The 25,576-nt window shown below is 41.5% G+C and overlaps 1 protein-coding gene across 2 annotated transcripts, besides 2 other annotated features; it reads left to right on the top strand.

The window, feature by feature from the left end:
* TM4SF20 (transmembrane 4 L six family member 20) lies at positions 5,754-25,363 on the top strand. 2 transcript variants are annotated; one of them, XM_011511876.3, is made up of 5 exons: positions 5,754-5,812; positions 10,620-10,805; positions 16,421-16,486; positions 21,157-21,308; positions 23,389-25,363. In XM_011511876.3, the coding sequence occupies exons 3-5, from the start codon at positions 16,439-16,441 to the stop codon at positions 23,675-23,677; spliced, it is 489 nt and encodes a 162-aa protein (XP_011510178.1). In that variant the 5' UTR covers positions 5,754-5,812; positions 10,620-10,805; positions 16,421-16,438; the 3' UTR covers positions 23,678-25,363. The 2 variants fall into 2 exon arrangements, with proteins under 2 accessions (XP_011510178.1, NP_079071.2); NM_024795.4 differs by lacking the exons at positions 5,754-5,812; positions 10,620-10,805 and adding an exon at positions 8,095-8,315.
* Positions 10,281-10,481: a silencer, noted in NCBI's record as "peak4069 fragment used in MPRA reporter construct". NCBI's record gives its function as "represses an SCP1 promoter by STARR-seq MPRAs in K562 erythroleukemia cells {active_cell/tissue: K562}" and the evidence as "EXISTENCE:reporter gene assay evidence [ECO:0000049][PMID:32103011]".
* Positions 15,628-16,827: an enhancer, noted in NCBI's record as "CDK7 strongly-dependent group 2 enhancer chr2:228235290-228236489 (GRCh37/hg19 assembly coordinates)". NCBI's record gives its function as "activates an origin of replication core promoter dependent on BRD2, BRD4, P300/CBP, MED14 and CDK7 cofactors, with strong dependence on CDK7, by STARR-seq in HCT116 cells {active_cell/tissue: HCT116}" and the evidence as "EXISTENCE:reporter gene assay evidence [ECO:0000049][PMID:35650434]".

Genomic DNA, 25,576 nt, shown 5'->3' with positions numbered 1-25,576 from the left:
CTGAGGCAGGAGAATCACTTGAACCCAGGAAGCGGAGGTTGCAATGAGCTGAGATCTCACCATTGCACTCCAGCCTGGGCAACAAGAGTGAAACTCCATCTCAAAGAAAAAAATACATATATATAATAAATATATATTTTATATATATATATATATATATATATATATAGAGAGAGAGAGAGAGAGAGAGAGAGAGAGAGAGAGAGCAAGAGAGAGCAGCATGTGATTTCATATAAATACACCTGATTAGAAGTCACAAGCCCAAATTCAAGTCCATGCTCTGCCACAGCAGTCAGCCACAAACAAGTCAGTCAGCCTCCCAGAGTCTTGCTTATTCACCTATAAACTAATAAGTTTGAACTAAGAATTAGTAAGGAGCTTTTCAGTTTTAACAACATGTAAATCTATTGAGATCTATTGAGTTCGCAGAACTAAACTCACAGGCTCTCCAGCCTCACGCTCTGAAGATTTCTCTTATGTATCTTATGCTTTTACATATATATACCTTTGCTATAGTGGGCATTAAAATTTGTTAACACGAAAAATCACCTTTAATCTCATATGATTCATCAGTTATAATCTGCACTGCAACAAAAACAGGCCGTAGCTTACCTGATGAAAGTTCAAAAGTTTACATTCATGAGCTCAGTGGAATGAAATAACGATTACTAATATATTCCATTCTTTCAAAACATTTACTAAATGTGGAAATTCTGTGCTTATTTACCTGCTTATATTCGTTGTATACTATATATTGGCTACAGCTTCTAGTGTTCCCTTATCTTCCTAAATATAATTTAATAAAACACTAGAAAAATATTGTATTTCACTGTGTTTGTTTTGATTTGTTTTTGTCTTTTTTGAGGGAGGGGTGAGAGTGATGAAGCTGATGTTTGGCAACACTTATTGCAAACTTTAGGAAGGTTGTAAGATGAAAGACAAGGGATATTCGGAATTTATTAGGGTAATATTAGCTACAACGAAGCTTTTCTTGTTGCTGTCAACTATCCTGGGCAGTTTTAGGTGGGCAGGAGGGGATGAGGATTCGGGCAGCTATTCTTCACTCAGTTATTTAGGGATCTAGGCTGAAGACAGCACTGGCATTTTCAAGATATGGCTTCTAAGATGGCTTAGTGCGTCCCCAGTCTATAGGTAGAAAAGAAAAGAACAGATAGCCCAACACTTCTTAAGCGCTGTGGCTTGACAGTGACACAGCTTGTCATTGGTTAGAAGTAACCACATGGTCCTGGCCAGGGTTGGTGGCTCATGCCTGTAATCCCAGCACTTTGGGAGGCGGAGGTGGGTGGATCACCTGAGGTCAGGAGTTCGAGCCCAGCTTGGCCAACCTGGAGAACCCCCATCTCTACTAAAAAATAAAAAGGAATTAGCTGGGCATGGTGGCACGTGCCTGCAACCCCAGCTACTCAGGAGGCTGAGGCAGGAGAATTGCTTGAACCCGGGAGGCAGAGGTTGCAGTGAGTCAAGATTGTGCCACTGCACTCCAGCCTGGGTGACAGAGTGAGACTCTGTCTCAAAAAAAAAAAAAAAAAAAAAAGGAAGTAATCACAGTAATCACATGGTCTTGTCCAGTCCATAGCTAGACTGACACTTCCCCAGCAACAACCTTGTCATATGAAAAGGAAAAGCATACATTTCTCATGGACAGTTAGCTGTGTCTACCATATAAAGCTCACGTTCTAGTAAAACTCCTAGCTGATTTGACTGCAGTGTGTTTAGAAGGGGATACCCTGAGGTAACTCTGGTGGGTGTTTAATTCCCATTTGTATCACATGAATTTCCCCTGGAAGTAGTGAAACTGGTCCCTGCAGTAGATCATTCTTCAAAGAAAAGTTTTTCTTTTTTTTTTTTCTTTTTGAGATAGCATCTCACTCTGTCACCCAGGTTGGAGTGCAGTAGTGTGATTACGGCTCACTGCAACTTCCGCTTCCCAGGCTCAAGCAATCCTCCCACCTCAGCCTCTTGAGTAGCTGGGACCACAGATGTGTGCTACCATGCTTGGCTTATTTTTTGTATTTTTTTGTAGAAACAGGGTCTCACCACATTGCCCAGGCTGGTCTCAAACTCCTGGGCTCAAGTGATTCACCTGTCTGGGCCTCCCAAAGTGCTGGGATTACAGGCGTGAGCCACCGTGCCAAACACAAGTTTTTCTAATACCATTAACACTGTTCTCATTTGAATTAACTAGGTAGTTTTGATTTGTTGTTTAAAATGTTGCATGTCATTCTAGAGTTACAAGCACAAACATGGTTCAGATTCTTATAAAAGGATCTAGATATTCTAGAGAAAGTTTCCTCCGTACCATTTAAATGAGATCATAGTGGTGGCTATGGTGAACTCTCTTGCTCAATAGCCATTTCCATGTCCCTCTAGTATTTGCTTTTTTTCCATATAGCAGAGGCTGAGATGATTAGAAATTACATGGCACAGAATTCTCTGCATCTGGGATCTGGATATTGCAAGAATTAGATCAACCCCTGAGGGGTATAAAAGGCAGAAATGAGGTGAAGGTCATTTTCCTCCACCTTTTATCTGTTGTTGCTGATAAGGAAGATTAGGGTGGAGGAGTTGAGTTTTCTGCACTGCAGCAATGTTCCTGGGTCCAGATAGCGTCATGCAAGTTAATAACCAGTTGCAGAGGCAGCTGTAGTCAGCTGGGCACCCACCACCCCACCCAACCAATTTTTGTATTAGCTGGGCGTGTTGGCAGGTGCCTATAATCCCAGCTACTTGAGAGGCTGAGGCAGGAGAATCACTTCAGCCCAGGAGGCGGAGGTAAATTCAGTGTTGTAGCATTCAATCACTAACCCGGGGTGTGCAGAGTGGTGATGACAACAGCGGCAATGGTTCCTGGACCGCAGCCGTACTGGGGTGTTTGTGAACTTAATCGTTCCAGAGGTGGCTTCTTGATGTCCCCGCCTTTTTTCTTGACAGAGTCTCGCTCTCGTTGCCCAGGCTGGAGTGCAGTGGCGTGATCTTGGCTCACTGCAACCTCCGCCTCCCAGGTTCAAGTGATTCTCCTGCCTCAGACTCCCAAGCAGCTGGGATTACAGGCGTCTGCAATCACACCCGGCCAATTTTTGTATTTTTAATAGAGACGGGGTTTCACCATGTTGGCCAGGCTGGTCTCAAACTCCTAACCTCAGGTGATCCACCCACCTTGGCCTCCCAAAGTGCTGGGATTACAGGCTTGAGCCACAGTGCCCAGCCTTCCCTGCCTTTTTGGCTACTGCAGGGACAGCGGCATCTCCCGGGCCAGTTCAGCAGTCGGGACCTGCGAAGCATTTCTGCAGATAAGTCTAGAGGCTGCTTTTCTAGCCCTTCCAGCAATTTTGTACACATGATTCTCCCATTACATCTCTTCCCAATTCCATAGCTAGAATTTCAGTTTTCTGCAACTAACTGACACTAGTCTATGAAACGCCCTTCTATCTTTTATACCAAATTCTAGCCACGCTCCAAAGCTGTGTGGAATCCTGGCTCCCAGCCCTTCTTGATGGAATCTTCCTTTTTCTGAACTCCAAGGCTTTTGCTGTTTTGGCACGCCATGTGACAAGTTATTTGCATACTTTTCCATCCTTGGTTTTAGCAACTTTTAGTTTTAGCTCTTTTGGTTGCAGAAAAATAGAAACCCACTAAAAACAATATGAAAGGATAATAATATAGAGGCATCTCATAGAAAACAAAGACAGAGTCTGCAGTCAGTTTTCATAGGGTAGAAATTAAGACGTAAAATGCCATTGAGAAACCAAGCAGTCACCCTTTCTCTACCACCCTCTAAAGCTGTGTGGTCTCCTACCTCCTCTTCCTGCATATTTCTCCTCTCTGTCTCTCCTCCTCCTTCTGTTTGTATAGATTGGTTTCTCTGTTTCTCCCAGCAGCGTTCATGATTTCATTGTATTGTATTGTATTTTTATTATTTTTATTTATTTTTCTTTTTCTACAGAAGGGTCTCACTCTGTCGTTCAGGCTGGAGTGCAGTGGCATGATCATAGCTCACTACAACCTCCAACTTCTGGGCTCAAGCAATCCTTCCGCCTCAGCCTCTTGAGTAGGTGGGGATTTAGGTATGTGCCACCATACCTGGCTAAATATTTTTGTGGACATGGGGTCTCCAGGCTGGTCTCAAACTCCTCACCTCAGATGATTCTCTCACCTCAACCTCCCAAATCACTGCCATTACAGGCATAAGCCACCGTGCCTGGCTGTTATTTTTATTTTTTGTAGGGATGGGGTCTTTCTATGTTGCCCTAGCTGGTCTTGAATTCCTGGCCCCAAGCACTCCTCCCACCTCAGCCTCCCAAGTAGCTGGGATTATAGGTGTGAGCCACCAAGCCTGGTTAAGCTCATGAATTTAAATATGGTAGAGACTTCTAGTTGCCTACCCAATACCCTTGGTCTCGTTCTCCCCAGTTTTAACTGGGCACAGATCACTTGGAATAAATACTACCTTTCCCATGCTGCTACATGGCTACATTCTAGGCAATGAGATGGCTCTTTGAAAGAAAGAGGGTGAGCCTTTCTCTTCTTTGATCCTTCTTGTTTTATTTATTTTTTCTTCTTCTCTTCCTTTATCCTTCTGAGTGGGGAGCAGATATAATTGTTGGAGCTATGGTTGCCACATTTTGAATGTGAGAATGAAGAGATCAGATGAAGAGATGCACTGAAAGGATCTCTGAGGAAGTGGAGCTCCCACTCCAACTCTTGAGTACTGTACTAGTCTGTTCTCATGCTGCTAATAAAGACATACCTGAGACTGGGTAATTTATAAAGGAAAGAGGTTTAATTGACTCACAGTTCCACAAGGCTGGGGAGGTCTCAGGAAACTTTCAATCATGGTGGAAGAGGAAGCAAACACATTCTTCTTCACATGGCAGCAGCAAGGAGAAGAATGAGCAAAAGGGGGAAAGCCCCTTATAAAACCATCAGATCTTGTGAGAACTCACTCACTATCAGGAGAACAGCAGCATAGGGGTAACCACCCCCAAGATTCAATTACCTCCCACCAGGTCCCTCCCACGACACGTGAGGATCATGGGAACTATAATTCAAGATGAAATTTGGGTGGGGACATGTCCAAACCACATCAAGTACTTATCATCTGACTTTGTGAATAACTTTCTATCTTAAGCCATTTTTATTTTAAATTTCTTTTTGTGTGCAACTAAGCTTAATCTTAACAGATACACATGCCCTCCCATTTCATGCATACTGGGGAATAACTAATTTCTCTTGGTTTCAATTCCAAGCTCCTAGAGAGATTGGAAGAGCATAGCTTCTGTATCTACCAGTATTCCGATCAACAATGGCCAGGGGAGCAAAGTTCCATAACACAAATGGAATACAGAGGATCTATGCATGTAAGTTACGGGGGGTTGTTTTTACAGAAACAGGCACGTGTGTTGGGCAGATACTAAAAAGTGGTCATCATTCTCCTCTTCAGTTATAAGCTAATTCTCTTTTCAGCTTTATACTGAAATATCTTCCCCTTCATCACATACAGATTAAATTTCTACATTTTTACAGAATTCTTCAGATACTTCCTTTTAGCCACAAATGTAAGGAGTACTAAACCCGAGTGGAACTATGTTATGCCCACTAGCAAAAGCATGCAGCTTACTCAGTTTTGGTCAAATGGCAAAGACTCTGGAAATCAGACACTTGATTCTCACAGTCAGGTGGAGTCCAACCGATCCAGTTCCCTACATATAAAATGATTCCCTAAACAGTTCTTCAATTCAACATCTTATGAAGACAGCAAAAAGATTTGAAATGGCACAACCCACATTCTAAGGTAAGTAACTACCACCTCCCACTCATTCAAGTCAGTAATAAATATATAATTTATGTATTATAATATATAGTTATAGAATGAGATAATTTATATGACTTAGTGGGAGGGTAAATTTTAGTTATTAATTTTTATAAAATAAAAAATATATTTTTTTAGAATATTATATAATTATAGTAGAAATCTCAACCATGCAGAAGTATATAAACCATACAATGGAAGTGTCTCCTGTCTCTCAACCCAGTTGTATTCTTTCAGTTATTCTCGGTGTTTTGTGTGTTGTGTTGATAGGTGGGTGTTTTTTGTTTTTGTTTTAAGATGGCGTCTCACTCTCTTGCCCAGGCTGGAGTTCAGTGGTGTGATCTTGGCTCACTGCAACTACTGCCTTCTGGGTTCAAGTGATTCTCCTGCCTCAGTCTCCTGAGTAGCTGGGATTACAAGCACCTGCCACCACACCCAGCTAATTTTTTTGTATTTTTAGTAGAGACAGGGTTTTGCCATATTGGCCAGGCTGGTCTCGAACTCCTGGGCTCAAGTGATCCTCCCACCTCGCCCTCCCAAAGTGCTGGGATTACAGGGGTGAGCCACCATGCCCAGCCAATAGGTGGGTTATTTTTAATCCTTTTATACAAATCCTTTCATACAAAGGATTTCACATTTCACTGAGGTCCAGTAACTGGACCCCCTAGTCTGGAGCTACTGTTTTGGTGTCCATTACCAGGGATGCCCCTTGTACCAGGCTGTGTGCGCCCCCCACACTGCTGCAGGGTGGAGCGCTGCTCTCTAAGCCTACTACGCCTGAGCTTTTGGCCCACACTGACTGCACCGCTGCATACATTATTTCACCATTCCCAACAGCACTCACTGAATCTATGCTCTGGGCTGAGCGGGGGATTACACAGAAGCAGAAGGAAGGCGCTGTAGAGATTAGAGCTGCCTAATGTCCCAATCTTTTCTCCTAGACATATTGGTTTGTATTTCCACCCACTTGAACTCATGCATAACTGAGTGACTTTTTTGGCCAATGAAATGTGAACAGAAGTGATGTGGGTCGCTTCTGGGCAGAAACATATAGATCCAGTATGTGGCTCACCACATTTTTGTACCCTGCCTCTGTGACTGTGGAAGCCTGGATCAAGAAGCTGCCTCTGCCAGTCTAGGTCTAGGTCTAAGTCTAGGTCTTTCAGTAACTACCATGACCCCATTTAGATCAGGATGGTCAGTCAGCATAAGCAAGAACTTTTGTATTGTTTTTGTTTTTTGAGATGGAGTCTCCCTCTGTCGCCCAGGCTGGGGTGCAGTGGTGCAATCTCAGCTCATGGCAACCTCCACCCCCCAGGTTCAAGTGATTCTCTGGCCTCAGCCTCCCAAGTAGCTGGGATCACAGGTATGTGCCACCACGCTTGGCTACTTTTTGTTTTTTTGGTACAGATGAGGGTTTTGCCATGTTGGCCAGACTGATCTCGAACTCCTGACCTCAGGTGATCCTCTCGCTTTGGCCTCCCAAAGCACTGAGATTACAGGCGTGAGCCACCGCAGCTGGCCAGAACTTTTGTATTTTAAAGCTTATGCCAACTGATAGTCTTTTCTCAAGGAGCTCACCAGCTAGTGGAGAGGCAATGTGGAACCACAGTCTAGAGATGTAAAGTACTGCACATGGCCAAGTAAGTGTTCAAGGGCTTAAATAAAATATGATAATCTCCTCATCCAATCTCTCTCCTATTGCTATCTTTCAGTCTGGTAGCATTAGCCAAAGCTCTCACATGTCTTAGGTGGGCTATCTCTAAATGGGTTAGTCTGCAACACTGGAATAATATGACATAAACATTTTCTTTTGTGTATGTGAGCATACGGCTTGAAATAAACTCTAATATTTGCAGCAGAGGAAATACCTTTCTCCACATCTCATACGTGTTCATTTTCTTGTTGAACAATTTCAAAATAAGAAACTTCCATAGCTGGTAATAATATCGATAGAACAGGAAAATATAGTTTAGCTGGATATTTTTGTTTTTACTTTTTAGAAGCCATACTAATAAAGGAGTATATTAAAGGAGCTTATCGTAAGCCTATCTTCTTACATAAATTTATCTCATAGATTTTTTTTTCTGCTTTCCTTCCTTCACCTCATCATAATATGGAATTATTTTCTCATTTCCCATCATAGTCATCATAATAATGTCCTACCCTATTGGACTCTGAACTATTTTCCACTATTCATTTTTTATTAGCGTTAAATTTTAACCAGAAGATTGGGATAAAAGGCAACATAGTACCATGCAAGCATAGCCACTTTGACAACGTTTCTGAGCCAGGGGTGACCATGACCTGCTGCGAAGGATGGACATCCTGCAATGGATTCAGCCTGCTGGTTCTACTGCTGTTAGGAGTAGTTCTCAATGCGATACCTCTAATTGTCAGCTTAGTTGAGGAAGACCAATTTTCTCAAAACCCCATCTCTTGCTTTGAGTGGTGGTTCCCAGGAATTATAGGAGCAGGTCTGATGGTGAGTGATATTTATTTGACTTGATGTGAAGAAGGGCCTGCCTATTTCACCAAAATCCTAAAAGCTGTCTTCCAGTCTTGCAGTTAACTATGTCTTGGCTTATGATAAAATTTGGAGCAGTAGTATGGCATTAATTTATATTGGTCATCAGTGAAGAATGGTAATTTAAATAAAGTACACTATGTGGTATAGGATAGAGAGCTGGGCAAAAAAATAAATTAATTAGTAGAAGTTGGCTGGGTTATTATCTCTCACATTTCTGTACAGGTAGGGCTGCTCTTTCAAGCTTTGTGGTTAGAGTTAGGGACCTTCTGAATTAATTCCTTCAACTTTCCATTGCTCCATACCAGTCTCTAAGTATTTACAGAAAATGCAATAGGAGTGACAGGTTGCTTAATAGGGATGAGTAGAAACATTCCCATGTATGATGACTAGCCTGGGTGATGGTAATTACGAGGCATGAATGCTGCATTGCCTGTACCTGAAGGGAGTTGGGCTAAGAGACATGGACTTAAAATCCTGGGTCTCTGGCCTCAAGGAATTTTTGACTCAGCTATTATATAGATCCTAGGACATCGAGCTTGTTGAATAGTTTGGTGATTGTTACTAGGTCTACCTCTGTTGAAATCTGCAGCAGAGCAGTGCAGGATGGAACTCCTAAATATAACTGACATGAATCACCCGAGGCACTTGCAATAGTTAGATTTACGGATTTTCTCCTGAGAATTCTGGGTGCAGTAGGCCTGGGTAGGACGCATTTGTATAGGGAAAACGGCTTTCAAATATGGCAGAATACCTCAGCTATGGTTCTGCCTCCCATATACCACTGCAAGCAAATCATTTATCCTATGGTTTTGTTTCCATATGTGTAAAATGGGGATGTGGATGTTGAAGTTGATAATTCAGCATCCAAGAGGCTTGTTTTTGTTTGTTATGCCACTAGGGGGTTTAGTTAGTGCCAAATAAATGAATGTGTGTGTGTGCCTGTGTGTGTGTGTGTGTAAGACAGAGAGAGAGAGAGAGAGTAAGCTGTAAGGACTGATATTATCAGTGTTTTAGAGATAATAAAACACGGAGGTGACTTTTTTTTAACTTTTTTTTTTAAGTTTTCAGTTCAGAGGTACATGTGCAGGTTTGTTACATAGGTAAACGTGTATCTTGGGGGCTGGTTGTACAGATTATTTCGTCATCCAGATATTAAGCCTACTACCCATTATTTATTTTGCCTGATCCTCTCCCTCCTCCCACCCTCCACTCTCCACCCTCCAACAGGCACCAGTGTGTGTTGTTCCCTTTTATGTGCTCATGTGTTCTCATCATTTACCTCCCGCTTACAAGTGAGAACATGCGGTTTTTGGTTTTCTGTTCATGCGTTAGTTTAAGGATAATGGCCTCCAGCTCCATCCATGTCCCTGCAAAGGTCATGATCTCATTCCTTTTTTATGGCTGTGGAGGTGATTTTTAAAGAAATTCAGGACATAGTTTTCTACTTGAATCACTGATTCTGAATTATGATCAGTTACTGCTGCTGGTATTATCCCCAGATTTACAAAAACACTCTTCCTTTACCATCACAAAGAATCTGTTCCTCTGCTTTAGGTAGAAAGATCTAATTAAAGAAAAAGCTTTTGGAAAGTTTTGGGCTATTTCTTCACACTGCCATGAATGCTCTCTTCCAGGCTGAGAGACAGAAAACACATTGCAACTCAACAGCATGAAGCAACTGTACATCCGTGTGTCTGTTTTCTTCCCTGTAGAAGGCTTCTCTCTGCTTGAGTAGTAGAAGCCTCTTTTGCATTTGCTTACACCAGAAGCCAGGAGCAGCTGGCTGAGCATGACTTAACGATAGCAATTTCCATGAAGCTCCTAGAAGTTCCTGAGTTAAGACAATCCACTTAGAATAACACATGCAGCTTTAGATATAAATTGGCTCTGCCACAAATCCCATGAGATTAAAAAAAATGTATTAGCATTAAAGGAGTCGGAGGTGGCGATGACACATACCTACATCTCCTGTATTCTTCATTTTAGGATGGTGGCGGGTGTGGCAGGGAGAGAAGAGAAAGAGAAAGGCAGAGACAGACAGAAGGACATAAGTGCTCATTTATTGGCCGTCTGCCAAAGGCCAGCTACTGGGTTCATACATTACCTTGTTATCTCATTTAGTCTCTATAATAATGTGTGCATTTATTATCACTTGAATTTTATAGGCCAGCAGATAGAAAGTTAGGAATGTTAACAAGGTCACCTAATGGATGTGAAATTCCAGATTTATCTGACGTCAAAACTCTGTTTTTCCACCAGTGCTAGTACCGTAGTCCTCAACACCTGTCTCAGGGCTGCCAGAGGTGAAAGATATAATCTATAAATTAATCCATAAAGTCAAGTGACCAGGAAACTGAGTCACAGAAAGATTATAGAAACTCGTGGAACAGTTTCAGAGAATCTGAACTTCCTCGTTCTACAGCTAAGTTTACTTTATCACCCTCAGTAAGTATTATCAAAGATATAAACACCAGACTATCTCTATTATTCTGTATTATAGAATGTCATTAAAGCATCAGACAACTCTTTGAAAAGTCCAATATGAACTTTATAGACAGAGGCTATGCCCACAAGCAAACAGGTGGGTGGTAAAAAGGGCTCAGACTACAGGTATATTTTCATGATCCTCAGATAGATAGAGAATGTGGAAGAAAGTGTTTTTCAAAGGAATTTATTAATATGTCCTTTATAATATCCATGAAAATACTCACTAGTTCAAAATACTGAGCTTTCAATATACTAGTAACTACACAAAAAAGTTAATAGAGAAGAAATCACTGCCTGTGATAAGCACTTTGGTCATAGTTCTTGAAATCTTTCCAGAATTACTGTAGTGTTTCAAATTAGTATTGTTACCAAAAATGGGATTTTGCAGGAAGTAGATAATTATACAAACTATGGAATTCATTATTGATTACATCATGAAATATATTCATTTTATGGCTTCATGACTTACTTAAAACGGAGGCGGACTTTTCATCTTCTAAAACTATGACTAAGTAAAAATGTGATGTACTTAATTATCTTTAACTTTAAATGGAAAAATCAATACAAATGTTATTTGTTCGAGTATTTTTAAAAAGATCTCAAAATGTTTCCTTGAAAACATATAAACAGAAAGGCCATTTTATTTTATATGAGGTTGTGAGCCTGATCTTAATCATGCTTATTCATTGAGTTCACTTATTAGATAATAGTAACTCATCAAAGTCAACTATTGAAGTCTTAATGGAGAACAAATTGTTGAAAGCTGGCCAGGCACGGTGGCTCATGTCTGTAATCCCAGCACTTTGGGAGGCCGAGGCGGGCGAATCACGAGGTCAGGAGATCAAGACCGTCCTGGCTAACACGGTGAAACGCCGTCTCTACTAAAAATATAAAAAATTAGCCAGGCTTGGTGGTGGGCTCCTGTTGTCCTAGCTACTCAGGAGGCTGCGGCAAGGGAATGGTGTGAACCCAGGAGGTGGAGCTCGCAGTAAGCTGAGATCGCGCCACTGTACTCCAGCCTAGGTGACAGAGCAAGACTCCATCTCAAAAGAAAAAAACAAATTGTTGAAAGTTAAACAGATGAGAAGACATTAGGCATGACAAACATTTGTAAAATATACTTTTGTGGGTTTTCTTTGGTTTTTTTTGGTCATTGTTTTTGAGACAAGGTCATGCTCTGTCACTCAAGCTAGAATGCAGTGCTGTGAGCACAACTCACTGCATCCTCAACCTCCTGGGATCAAGTGATCCTCCCACTTCAGCCTCCTCAGTAGCTGGGACTATAGGCATGCACCACTATTGCCCAGCTTATCTTAAATTTTTTTTTGGCCAGGTATGGTGGCTTATGCCTGTAATCCCAGCATCTTGAGAGGCTGAGGTGGGTAGATCACCTGAGGGCAGGAGTTCGAGACCAGCCTGGCCAACATGGAGAAACCCGTTTCTATCAAAAAATACAAAAATTAGCCAGGCATGGTGGTGCATGCCTGTAATCCCAGCTACTCGGGAGGCTGAGGCAGGAGAATCACTTGTACCCAGAGGCAGGAGTTGCAGAGAGCCGAGATTGTGCCACTGCACTCCAGCCTAGGTGACAGAGTGAGACTCTGTCTCAAAATTTTTTTTTTTTTTTTGTAGATAGGGTCTCACTATATTGCCCAGGTTGGGGTCAAACTCCTGGGTTCAAGCAAGCCTCCTGTCTTGGCCTCCCGAAGTGCCAGAATTACAGGCATGAGCCACCATGCCTGGCTGCAAAATATAGTTTTGATATTTGTAATGAGCTATGACTTTGTGTGTTACTCTCATGTTCAAGTTCTTAGAGGACTCCCAAAAGTCTGAATTTCATCACAGGATTTTTAATGGTCTGAAGTTTTTCCACACTTCATTTGTAAAATCATGTAACTTCTCAAACTAAATACAATTAGGGGGCTCTGTAAGAAAAAATCAACAATATTACTTTCCTTTTTAAAAACAAAAGACTAGCAAGACTTTTAATTTTACAAAAACTCAGGCATTCAAATATGCTTAGGAAATGAAGAGAAAGTGTGTTCTCATAATTACTCATTTTGGCAGGAGATTATCTGGAAAATTTATATATAATTCATACACACACACACACACACACCATTCACAGTTTTAGTGTCTGTCTAAAGAGCCCCTCCAATTTCCGGAGCTCTGAATGGGAAAGCGGTTGAAACCGCAGCGAGTTGTCAAATCACCAGTAACAGCATTACAAAGATGTGTTAATACGCCTTGAAGTCGGTGGGGTGGTGACTTATACACTGTAAGTAATTGTCCCTTTATAAAACCCCTTTGTAAGTGAATCATGAAAGGAAATATTTAGTAACTCTGAAATAAACTTATCTTCAAGAAAGTTACCAGAGTTCAGTTTGCATCAACAAGGAAAATAGAACAATTTATCCATTTAAGTTGTAATGTCAATCCACTTTTTTTTTTTTTTTTTTTTTTTTAGACAGGGTCTCACTTTGTCATCTAGGCTGGAGTACACTTGCACTTTCTTTTAAAAGAATCATTAATTTTCTAAATCTGTAGCTGGCAAACTGTAAATATTCAGCCAATATTTTCGGTTTATAAACCAGCCTCTTCCACATATTTTTTTTTTTTTTTTTTTGAGACGGAGTCTCGCTCTGTCACCAGGCTGGAGTGCAGTGGCGCGATCTCGGCTCACTGCAACCTCTGCCTCCCGCGTTCAAGCGAGTCCTCTGCCTCAGGCTCCCTGGTAGCTGGGACTACAGGCACGTGCCACCAAGCCCGGCTAATTTTTTGTATTTTAGTAGAGATGGGGTTTCACCATGTTGGCCAGGATGGTCTCGATCTCCTGATCTCGTGATCCGCCCACCTTGGCTTCCTGAAGTGCTGGGATTACAGACGTGAGCCACCGCGCCCGGCCTCTTCCACACAATTTAACTCTACTCTTGGTGCACAAAAGTAGCCATAGACAATATGTAAATACATGGATGTGACTGTGTTCCAATAAAACTTTATTTACAAGAAAGAGGTGGTGGGCCATAGTTTGCCAGTTCCCGTTCTAAATGATTTGTCCTGTAAGCTCAAAAGGCAGTACAGCTTATGTGTACAATAAAAGATGTTTAGTGCACGAATACTGATACCTATTTGGGAGCTAAAATTTCTTTTCCCTTTTCTTCTGGGCTTTCAGCTATGCGCCAAGGTGGCTAGGCAGCCATATACACATGTGGCCTCTAAATAAGGAGGGTGGTGGTGTTCAAGGCAATGTGTAAGCAAAGCTTGATAATAATACAAAGTGACATGGAGGCAGTACATCATCAGATGGAGTGAGGTTTGTTAGGAAAGCTGCCTTGTAAAGAGGCATAAACTTTAAACCCGTGCTAAAAGAATAAAGGCAGATGTGGCCTTGGATAAATGAATCAGAGTGGGAGTAACTGGAAGGACAATGAGATGGGCAAGGGTGAAGGCAGCAGGGAAGATGAGAATGAACAAACTCTAGGTAGGAATAGGGGAGAATTGTAAGACTTGAGTCAGTGTGGAATAGGGATTAAGAGTCCCGGCTGAGCACAGAGGCTCACCTGTAATCTCAATGCTTTAGGAGGCCGAGGCGATCACTTGAGCCCAGGAGTTCGAGACCAGCCTGGGCAACATGGCAAAATCCCCGTCTCTACAAAAAAATGCCCCCCAGAATAAATTAAAACTAACAGGGCGTGATGGCATGCATCTGTAGTCCCAACGACTCGGGAGGCTGAGGTGGGAGGATCACTTGAGCCCTGGGTGTTGAGGCTGCAGTGAACCGTGATCATGCCACCGCACTTCAGCCTGGGTGACAGAGTGAGACCCTGTCTCAAAAAAACAAAACAAAACAAAAAACTATGTGGGCTCTGCACCCCAAATGACTAGCTTTTTTTGTTGTTGTTGTTTGTTTTTTTGAGATAGAGTCTCGCTCTGTCGCCAGGCCGGAGTGCAGTCACATGATCTCAGCTAACTGCAACCTCTGTCTCCCAGGTTCAAGTAATTCTGCCTCAGCTTCCTGAGTAGCTGGGGCTACAGGTGTGCACCACCTCGCCCAGCTAATTTTTGTATTTTTAGTAGAGACGGGGTTTCCTCATGTTGGCCAGGCTGGTCTCGATCTCCTGACCTCGTGATCCACCCACCTCGGCCTCCTAAAGTGCTGGGATTACAGACATGAGCCACCGCGCCCAGCCAAATGACTAGTTTTGAATCCCAACCCTTCTACCAAGAAAGTAGAAGGACAATTTGAGTAATTTGTCCTTTCTATGCCTCAGTTTTCTCATTGGTAAAATGGGAATAATAATAGCACCTACCTCATAGGATTATTATGAGGATGGAATAAACTAAGGCGTGTAAAGTGCCTGTAACAGAGTCTGGCATTCGCCAGAGCTCGGGAAAATGTTAGAGAATGAGAGTAGAAGGAGAGAGAAAAACCACTCAAGGGCAGCTGTGCTGAGATGGCAAAAAAACCTACGCCTAAAATTTCTCAAGCGGAAGGAAATAATTACATTCCACCCTTCAATGATACAAAACTCCTTCCAGTAAGAATTTCTAGTCGTAGCTGCTGCCTAGATATACTAAAAATTGAAACCCAAGTCCTGAGAATATGGTGTTCTTTCTTACAGCTTTCCTTGGCAACGTGTATTTCCCTGAAGGCAGAATGCGATCTATAGATTTCTGAGCATCAATATATAAAGTGAGATCATTACATATCATGGATATAGGAAGAGAAAGGAGAACGTGGAACCAAAAATAATTCTCAAATATAAGTTTGGGGAAACCAGCAAGATAGCCGGGATCCTGGGAAAAGAAAGGCTAGTGGGAGTGGGTGGTGACAGAATGATTTGTTCCCAACTGCCAGGCAAACAAAACCATCAATTTCTTTTCTGCAGGTTTGCCAGAATAATCCATACAATTTCTGGGAAATCGGGCCAGGCGTAATGGCTCACATCTTTAGTTTTCTTGGCAGGAGGTTTTCTTGAGGCCAGGAGTTCAGGACCAGTCTGGGCAACAGAGTGAGATCTTGCTTCTACAAAAATATTTTTAAAATTAGCCAGGTGTGGTGGTCTACACCTGTGGTCCTAGCTACTCAGGAGGCTAAGGCAGGAGGATTATTTGAGCCCAGGAGTTCAAGGCTACAGTGAGCTATGCTCGTATCACTGCACTCTGGCCTGGGTAAGAGAGTGAGACCCCTACTCTTTAAACAAACAAACAACAGAGTTTGGATGATGCAGCCAATTCTTTCAGAAACATTTCTTCCAAAAATAATGTATAAATAAGTCATCCTAATCTATTTAAAATCCAATTCTCTGCAGATGACTCAGAGTGAACTAAGAATGTAGATAGAAGACTTCAAAACTCCTGTCTTGAATTCCCCTGTTCCCGCCGCCACTTTTAATCTTTCTGGTTGAAACTGGGATGACAAGGTTCACAAAACCACGGATATTGCCAAATTCCCTTTTTGTTCTTTGAGCCTTGATTTCCCACAACTGGTGGTAAACGGAAGGTGAAGATTACTATTTTTTCTTCTGATGAGAAGTTATAATACTCATCTTTCCTGTTGATGTCATTTCCAGGCCATTCCAGCAACAACAATGTCCTTGACAGCAAGAAAAAGAGCGTGCTGCAACAACAGAACTGGAGTAAGTATGAAGCAGTCGGCGTGGAAGCAGAAGTGCATGAACAGTTATTGCTACCTAAGCAAAGCCACACTGAGTCACTCGCATCTACCGAATCACAGTGGGGCTCCACTGACAGAGCCACAGCCTTAGAAACATGCTATTTTTATTTATTTATTTAGAGACAGGGTCTTGCTCTGTTGCTGAGACTGGAGTGCAGTGGTGCGATCTCGGTTCACTGAAACTTCTGCCTCCCGGGATCAAGCAATTCTCCTGCCTCAGCCTCCTGAATAGCTGGGACTACAGGTGCACACCATCACGCCCAGCTAATTTTTGTATTTTTAGTAGAGATGGGGGTTTCAACATGTTGGTCAGGCTGGTCTCAAACTCCTGACCTCGAGTGATCTGCTCGCCTCGGCCTCCCAAAGTGCTGGGATTACAGGTTTGAGCCACTGCGCCTGGCCTGAAACATGCTATTTAGGATGATTATATAGAAGTAGAAAAAGTGAGACGGGTTTTTTTGTCCCACAAACATTTAGAGTTGGCCTTCTGTCCCTTCCTCAGTCTTCCGTGGATTGTCCTTTCCTCAATCTAAAGGTTTTCAAAGAAAGGAGATTGGTAAGTCACGCCCACAGCTGCAATCAATTTCATAATACTCGGGTGTGATATTTTTGTGGCGTATATAAAATACTCAGGGAAAATGTACTCAGTTCTCTCATGCAATGACAGACTGGTTTGCTAGGATTAGAATGACAATTGCCTTTATCCAGTTAAATTAAAGGAGCTGCCAGGTTTTTTTCCCCCAAAACATTTAATGCCTACCCACTATGTATAAAGTCGTAACGAAGTTAAAAGTAAATTAAGATTCATTAACCGGAGTGTCACTCTGCTCAGAACACTTTCAGAGATGCTGTTTCATTTAATTCTCTCAAAACCCTTAAGTGGGAAAAAGTAAGAAGTGTGTTTGATTGACGAAGGAATGGACGCTCAGAGAAAGTAAATAATTTGCCAGTGTAGCACACTAGTAAGTGGATTTTTATCCAAACCCACTGGAGCACCCCACAATTCATGATCTTTATACCATGAACATGGCTATTAAGCAACATAAGGACTCTCACAATTCCCTGTGGAAGGGGTAGATTGACAGCAAGCAGTCACAGTAAATCTGCTTGGCTGAGCTTGAGCTTTCAGAGCAATGGTTCTCAGATGGATGGGAACATTAGGCTGGGCACGGTGGCTCACAGCACTTTGGGAGGCTGAGGTGGGAGGATCACTTGAGGTCTAGAATTCAAGACCAGCCTGGCCAACATGGTGAAACCCCGTCTCTACTAAAAATACAAAAATTAGCTGGGCACGGTGGCCCATGCCTGTAATCCCAGATACTCAGAAGGTTGATGCAGGAGAATCTCTTGAACCCAGGAGGCAAAGGTTTCAGTGAGCCGAGATCACATCACTGCACTTCAGCCTGGGCAACAGATGAGTAAGACTCTCTCAAAAAAAAAAAAAAAAAAGACAGATGGGGATATTAGAATTATCTAAAGAGATTTAAAAAAATACCAGTGCCTGGGTGGCCGCCAGAGATTCTGCATCAGTATTTTTCAAAAGCACTCAAGATAATTTGGCCAGGGGTTAGAACCACTACTTAAAAAAAACAAACCAGATATTTCTATCCATAATGGAAGATTCATATTTTTAAAAATTACCCTTTTTCTGACATTTGATATTTATCTAGGATTACAATAATTATGCTAATTAGTTCTAGTCTATTTTTGTCTGAATACATTTTAGGTATTCAATAAACACTAATTTTCAGTTTCCCTTCCCTGTCACTTTTCTTTGTAAACGATAATAATTTGGAATTTGACTTTGTATCTTTTCTATGTGGTGTTCACAACATTCTTGACATCCTGAGACATTTCTGAATTCCTGAAATCAAAAATATCAAAACACTTATATAGGCTTTTCCGATAGGTGTATCCTCTAAGAACTGGTTTTTATGTCGTATCTGGTGTCTTTGAGGCCTAGATAAGACCAAAACATGAGACAAGTGGCAAAGGCAACATCTTGGGAGGAAGGGAAAGGGTTGACCAAGGCTTGTCCCCTATTTTAACTGTTCTTTGCTTCTTCCCTTTTTCCAGTTCTTATTTTTGCTTCTGAATACAAAATGGTTTTGCTGAATCATTTAAGTGAATCCCCTTTAGGGGAAATACACATGCCTGGAATCACTTTCTAAAGCCAGGCCTTTTGTAGGGATGAGAACTCAAAGATAATATGGCTGGGTGCGGTGGCTCACGCCTGCAATCCCAGCACTTTGGGAGGCTGAGGTGGGCGGATCACTTGAGTTCAGGAGTTTGAAACCAGCCTGGCCAATATGGTGAAACCCTGTCTCTACTAAAAATACAAAAAATAAAAATAAAAAAATTAGCCAGGTGTAGTGGCGGGCATCTGTAATCCCAGCTACTTGGGAGGCTGAGGCAGGAGAATTTCTTGAACCCAGGAGGCAGAGGTTACAGTGAGCCCAGATAGCGCCACTGCACTCTATCCTGGGAAACAAAGAAAGGCTCCGTCTCAAAAACAAAAAATTATATATATATATATATATAAATAATAGATGGCGGCCAGGCGTGGTGGCTCACGCCTGTAATCCCAGCACTTTGGGAGGCTGAGGCGGGCGGATCACAAGGTCAGGAGATGGAGACCATCCTGGTTAACAGGGTGAAACCCCATCTCTACTAAAAATACAAAAAATTAGCCGGGCGTGGTGGCGGGTGCCTGTAGTCCCAGCTACTCAGGAGGCTGAGGCAGGAGAATGGCGTGAACCCGGGAGGCGGAGCTTGCAGTGAGCCGAGATCATGCCACTGCACTCCAGCCTGGGCGACACAGCGAGACTCCGTCTCCAAAAAAAAAAAAAAAAAAAAATAGATGGTTAAAAATAAACACCATGGCACTTCTTGATGAGTACATTTAAGTAACTGCACAAGTCACAGTAGCATGGAAGAATCAGGATTTGAAGTAGACTCCAAATCCATCATTCTGAACTTTTGGCTGGAAGAAGAATAGTGATTAAAGTGTTTCCCAGCTGTGAGAGCCTGACAAGTTTTGTCCATCTCCATGATACACAGTTTTCTCATCTATAAAATGGAAATAATAATAGTATCTACCTCTTGGGATTATGAAAAGAATTAAATGAGATGATATATGTAGAGCACAACATCCCTCAACACAACTCTATAGGTAGCCACCTTATTCTGCACTCATAAAAGGCAGGTCTCAAGAACACAACACACAGACCCTGTGGGAGCTGCATTATCCCAGCAAAGAAAAAGGAAAAGCATTCCCTCGCTTCATTTCTGCTGATTTTGAAATAATCATCAGTGACTAACAACTTCACTGAAACAATACAAAAGTTTCCTTCTTTTTTTTTTCTTTTAGAGATGGGCTCTTACTACGTTGCCCAGGCTAGTCTCGAACTCCTGGGCTCAAGCAATCTACCCTCCTTGGCCTCCCAAAGTGCTGGGACTACAGGCATGAGCCACTGTGCCTGGCCTAAGAGCTTATTTTTGGAAAAACAAACACGAACTTTCATTCAGTTTCCTATGCCAAATTCCATGCCTTCTTCTGCTCTCATGACTGACTCACGAAATAAAGATGTGTACAATCTTTCTAACACAGTGGCTCTCAACCGGCGGGTTATTTTACCCACCCACCTCCACCCCAAGAGGATATTTGGCAATGCCTGGAGACATTTTTGGTTGTCAGAACCGGGCTGGAGGTGGCAAGGCGTCGGGGGATGATATTGGCATCTAGTGGGTAGAGATGAGTGATGTTGCTAAATATCCTACACTGCACAGGAAAGGCCCCACAGCGAAGTGTGCAAATGTCATTGGTGCTGAGGTTGGGAAGTCCTGTTCTAACTCTATGCTGTTGACTGATCACTGTGGGATGCTGGCCACTGGCCACTTAAAGCATCAGGGCCAAATTCACTTAAAGCATCAGGGCCAAACGCTTGCGAGCCAAGAGACCAGACATGAAGATAAACGTAGTTAAGATCCAGTCAAGATTCTATGAAGTAGGAAGTACATAAAACAGGGAGGAACTAGATCTCAGTGGTCAGAAGAAACAGATGAGACTCAGGAATATGAAAGTTGAGATTTTCCAGAGACAGTGACAAGCCAAACCATCTTTTTTTTTTTTTTTTTTTTTTTTTTTTTTTTTTTTTTTTGACAGAGTCTTGCTCTGTCACCCAGCAGGAGTGCAATGGCACGATCTCGGATGACTGCCTCCCGGGTTCAAGCGATTCTCCTGCCTTAGCCTCCCAAGTAGCTGGGATCACAGGCATCCACCACCAAGCCTGGCTAAGTTTTTGTATTTTTAGTAGAGAGGGGGTTTTGCCATGTTGGCCAGGCTGGTCTTGAACTCCTGACCTCAGGTGATCCACCCACCTTGGCCTCCCACAGTGCTGAGATTACAGGTGTGAGCCACCATGCCCAGCCCCAACCATCTTTTATTGAGTGTAATCAAATAGCAGAGACTGCCCTCTGCCTTTTTGTATCATTCACACCTAATAAACTGTGATCTTAAGATCCAGGATTTTAGGGCGACTGGATTTAAAAAAGACTGTATACGCTCCTGAAGCTTGAAACAGATCAAGAACATGTCATAACATGTGCAAATGGCTCTATTTTATTTTTCAGATGTTTCTTTCATCACTTTTCAGTGTGATCACAGTCATTGGTGCTCTGTATTGCATGCTGATATCCATCCAGGCTCTCTTAAAAGGTCCTCTCATGTGTAATTCTCCAAGCAACAGTAATGCCAATTGTGAATTTTCATTGAAAAACATCAGGTAAGTAACTTGATTTTCACAGGCTTACTGTCTCACACAGTTGAACTAGTTTGATTAGATTAATGCAGTACTGGAACAATGCCATGTTTTTATTTGATGCAACTGCCGGGACAAACGGATTCTTAGGAATTTTAGTACATTAACGCCAGTTAGCACAACTCCACATCAAAATGGAGGAATCATTAGATTTACAATGCTCTAAAAGGACTTTTAGATATTGTCTAAAAGGACTAGTTGATCTCAAATGGCTTATGCTTGTCTTTCAAAAATCTACAGTTACATATGTGTATGTATATTAAAAAATTATGCAAATATACACCAGAAACTTAACTTTCATCCTTGGAGAATGGAAATAGGGGATTCCCTTTATGAGAGTGAAGAGAACATTTACTTTCTACACTTCTGAACTAATTAAATTTGTCAACCATGAGCAAATATTACATTTACAATTTAAAAAATTTAATAAAAACACAATAAATAAAATGCAGAGCCTTGCCTGTAGGCTTAAATGGAAGAGCAACCAATGGATTCATACAGATATGCTATAAATATACTGTATGCATGGGAATGAATCCAAATTTTAAGTCATGTAATAACAAGTAATACTGGAGAGTTACATGTACTTAATAAGTGGCTCATTTTAGTCTTTTAAGTACATCATTCTGTGACTGAATCTAGACACAATTTGTAAAAACTGGAAGAAAAAAACTATCTAATCCATTACCTCTCTGTATAGCCTGCTCAGTTTAGCAAATAACCAGAATTTACTTTTGTAGTTACATACAAAAAATTTTTTCTCCTTTTCCCTTACCTTGCTACATTAAAAAAGAAAGTCCCTCAAATTTTGTGTAGCATATTTGTTTTGAACCAAAACCCAAGGAAGGCCAGGCACAGCGGCTCACGCCTGTAATCCCAGCACTTTGGGAGACCAAGGCAGGTGGATCGCTTGAGGTCAGGAGTTTGAGATCAGCCTGGTCAACATGGTGAAACTGCATCACTACTGAAAATACAAAAATGAGCCAGGCGTGGTGGCACGCGCCTCTAGTCCCAGCTACTCAGGAGGCTGAGGCGGGAGAATTGCTGGAACCCAGGAGGCGGAGGTTGCAGTGAGCCAAGATCAAGCCACTGCACTCCAGTCTGGGTGACAGAGTGAGACTGTGTCTCAAAAACAAAGCCAAGGAAAGTCTCCTTGCTAATAGACTTGAAGTAAAGGGTTAAAGATTTCTACCACAGATGCTATGCACATTAAATCCCCAGGGAATGACAACAGCCCACAATGTACCAGGCACCAGGCTACGCTCTGCAGACAACAGCGCTCAGATATTCTCAGCCTAGTTGCGGAGATGGGCTAGGCTAGCAAAGTTACAAGAGAGTGATCCTTGGCTTGCTACACATTTCACAAAACACTCATATTCCATGTGCTGAAAATACTGTTGTTTTCCCAGGTTGAATGTCAGTTGCTGATATCCAGCAATGCAAACTCCCTAAGAACATTCCATTTTACTCTACAGTAAACAAACAAAAAATCATCTTGAGATAGATGTATTAGGGCTAAAAGTTTCTCATTTTCCACAGCCCCGTTAAGAACAGGCACATCACTTTAATCAGACATATTTAATCAGTAAAAACTGTACATCTGGTTGAAGAACGGACGCCACGCTGTAGTTCTGCACTAAGAACTGAGCTCATTTAATGGGGGTGGCGGGGGGTAGGGGAGGCTCCTTAGTTTTTATATCTAGCAAGTAGAAGAGTATCTGAATAAATAAAATAAATAGGTTGAACCACGAAAAACTGTTGACATTCAACTATTTCTGACATCCCAAAACAGCAGTTTCATACCGTTCAACCTAAGAGAAGATGTACCATAGAGATGCTTGTTAAATGATGGGCTATATAAGTAATAAAAGTTTTGTAACTAGTAGAGTATATGGACACATGCTCAGAAACCCTGATCTCTGTCATTTCTGGGCACGATATTTCAAAAGTACATTCGTTTCACTCATTCTTTTATGTGCACAATGCTACTTTCCTTTGGTCAGGGATATTTCTGAATATCTGATTTTTATCTTTTGTTTTTCAGTGACATTCATCCAGAATCCTTCAACTTGCAGTGGTTTTTCAATGACTCTTGTGCACCTCCTACTGGTTTCAATAAACCCACCAGTAACGACACCATGGCGAGTGGCTGGAGAGCATCTAGTTTCCACTTCGATTCTGAAGAAAACAAACATAGGCTTATCCACTTCTCAGTATTTTTAGGTCTATTGCTTGTTGGAATTCTGGAGGTCCTGTTTGGGCTCAGTCAGATAGTCATCGGTTTCCTTGGCTGTCTGTGTGGAGTCTCTAAGCGAAGAAGTCAAATTGTGTAGTTTAATGGGAATAAAATGTAAGTATCAGTAGTTTGAATTAATTTGAGAAGTACACTTGTTTTCAAAGTCATCTTTGAGATGATTTAAAAAATCAACCCTTCACGTAGAAAGCACGTTGTAAATGCATAACACTCTCATATCAGTGGTTGATTTGGGAAAGGTGGAGAGAATTTTCAATTAGTTTTGTGTTGTACTATTCAAATTTTTTACCTCTTCACTGTGTGTAGAGAAAGGAGAAGGGAAGGAGGATGAGAAGGAACGGAAGTCATCCTGAAAATAAAAGTACAGGACTTTTTTTTTTTTTTTTTGAGACAGGGTCTCAAAAAAGGCTGGAGTACAGTAGTACAGTGGTGCTATCTCAGCTTACTGCAGCCTCAACCTCCTGGGCTCAGGTGATTCTCCCATCTCAGCCTCCCTAGTAGCTGGGACTACAGGTGCGTGCCACTATGCCAAGCTAATTTTTGTATTTTTAGTAGAGATGGGGGTTTTCCATATTGCCCAGGCTGGTCCCGAACTCATGGACTCAAGTGATCTGCCTGCCTCAGCCTCCTAAAGTGCTGCGATTACAGGCATGAGCCATCGCGCCTAAAGGACAGGACCTTTTTATTGTATTTCTTTAAAGAATAAATACATAACCTGAATGCAATCAAGTCTTTAGATCTAATTCTCAGCTTGCAGGGAACACTAGGACAAATCCAAAAAGTGGGTCAGCGGGCACAGAATGGCCCAATTTTCAACAGGAAAATGTTATAAAAGAAAAATATTTTTGAGGGAACTGTTATAGATTAAGAGAATAGAGGCATGTTTCAGCTAAACACATGTAAACTTTGTCAGAGATAATTGGGAGGAGTATGTAGAAGAATCGGATTATTGTTAATTTTGGTAGGTCTGATAATGGTTTTATAGTATAAAGGCTGAGTACCCCTTATCCAAAATGATTAAGATCAGAAGTGTTTTGGCTTTCACATTTTTTTGGATTTTGGAATTTTGCCTATAATAATGAGACATCTTGGGGATGGGATGCAAGTCTAACCACAAAATTCATTTATGTCTCATACACACTTTGAACACCTGGCCTGAAGGTAATTTCACACAATATTTTAAATAACTTTGTGCATGAAACACAATTTTGACTGCATTTTGACTGCAACTCATCACATGAGGTCAGGTATGGAATTTTCCACTTGTGGTGTTACGTTACTGGCTCAAAAAGTTTTGGATCTCGGAGCATTCTGGATTTTGAATTTTTGGATTAGTGATGCTCAACCTGTATACAGAAATGTCCTCATTTTTAAAAAAAGAAATGCATATTTATATGTTTTAAAATTACTTCAACCAAAAGCAACGGGGAGATGTTTACTGTTATATTTAGGTGACAGGTACATGGCAATTCATTATACCCTCCTATTTTCCTATGTTTACATTATTCATTAATTAAAAAACAATACCTAGAAAAACCCAAGACTTTCAAAAGCTATTTTCTATATGTGCCAATCTTTAAAAAACAGGATAACAAGGGTATTTATCACATTAAAATGTTGTAAAACAGCAAAGCTAAAAATCTAAAATTTTCTGAATGTTATTTCTATATTTCAATTGTTTATGTTCATTGGGCTTAAGGTTCCAGAAATAATTTGCAGTACCTACATTATAGCTGCCTAAATAAATTTAGTAACATCAAGAGCTTATAAGCCTTTTTTCTGAACATTTACTATATAAAAACATTCTTCCTACACCCCTACAAATACTTACTTGTCCTTAAGGCCTAGCTTAAGTATCTCCTACTTGAGGAAGCCTTCCCAGTGCTCATGATCCAATAAACCAAGTCAGCACTTACCCAAGCCTCTATTATCATTCCTGTCATAATGTAACATACATGTGTTTGTACGTCCATCACTA

This window comes from Homo sapiens, chromosome 2 (assembly GCF_000001405.40).
Source record: "Homo sapiens chromosome 2, GRCh38.p14 Primary Assembly".
NCBI classification, from domain to species: Eukaryota; Metazoa; Chordata; class Mammalia; order Primates; family Hominidae; genus Homo; species Homo sapiens.
Note: the sequence above shows the minus strand (reverse complement) of the source record. Positions and strands in the feature narration are given on the sequence as shown.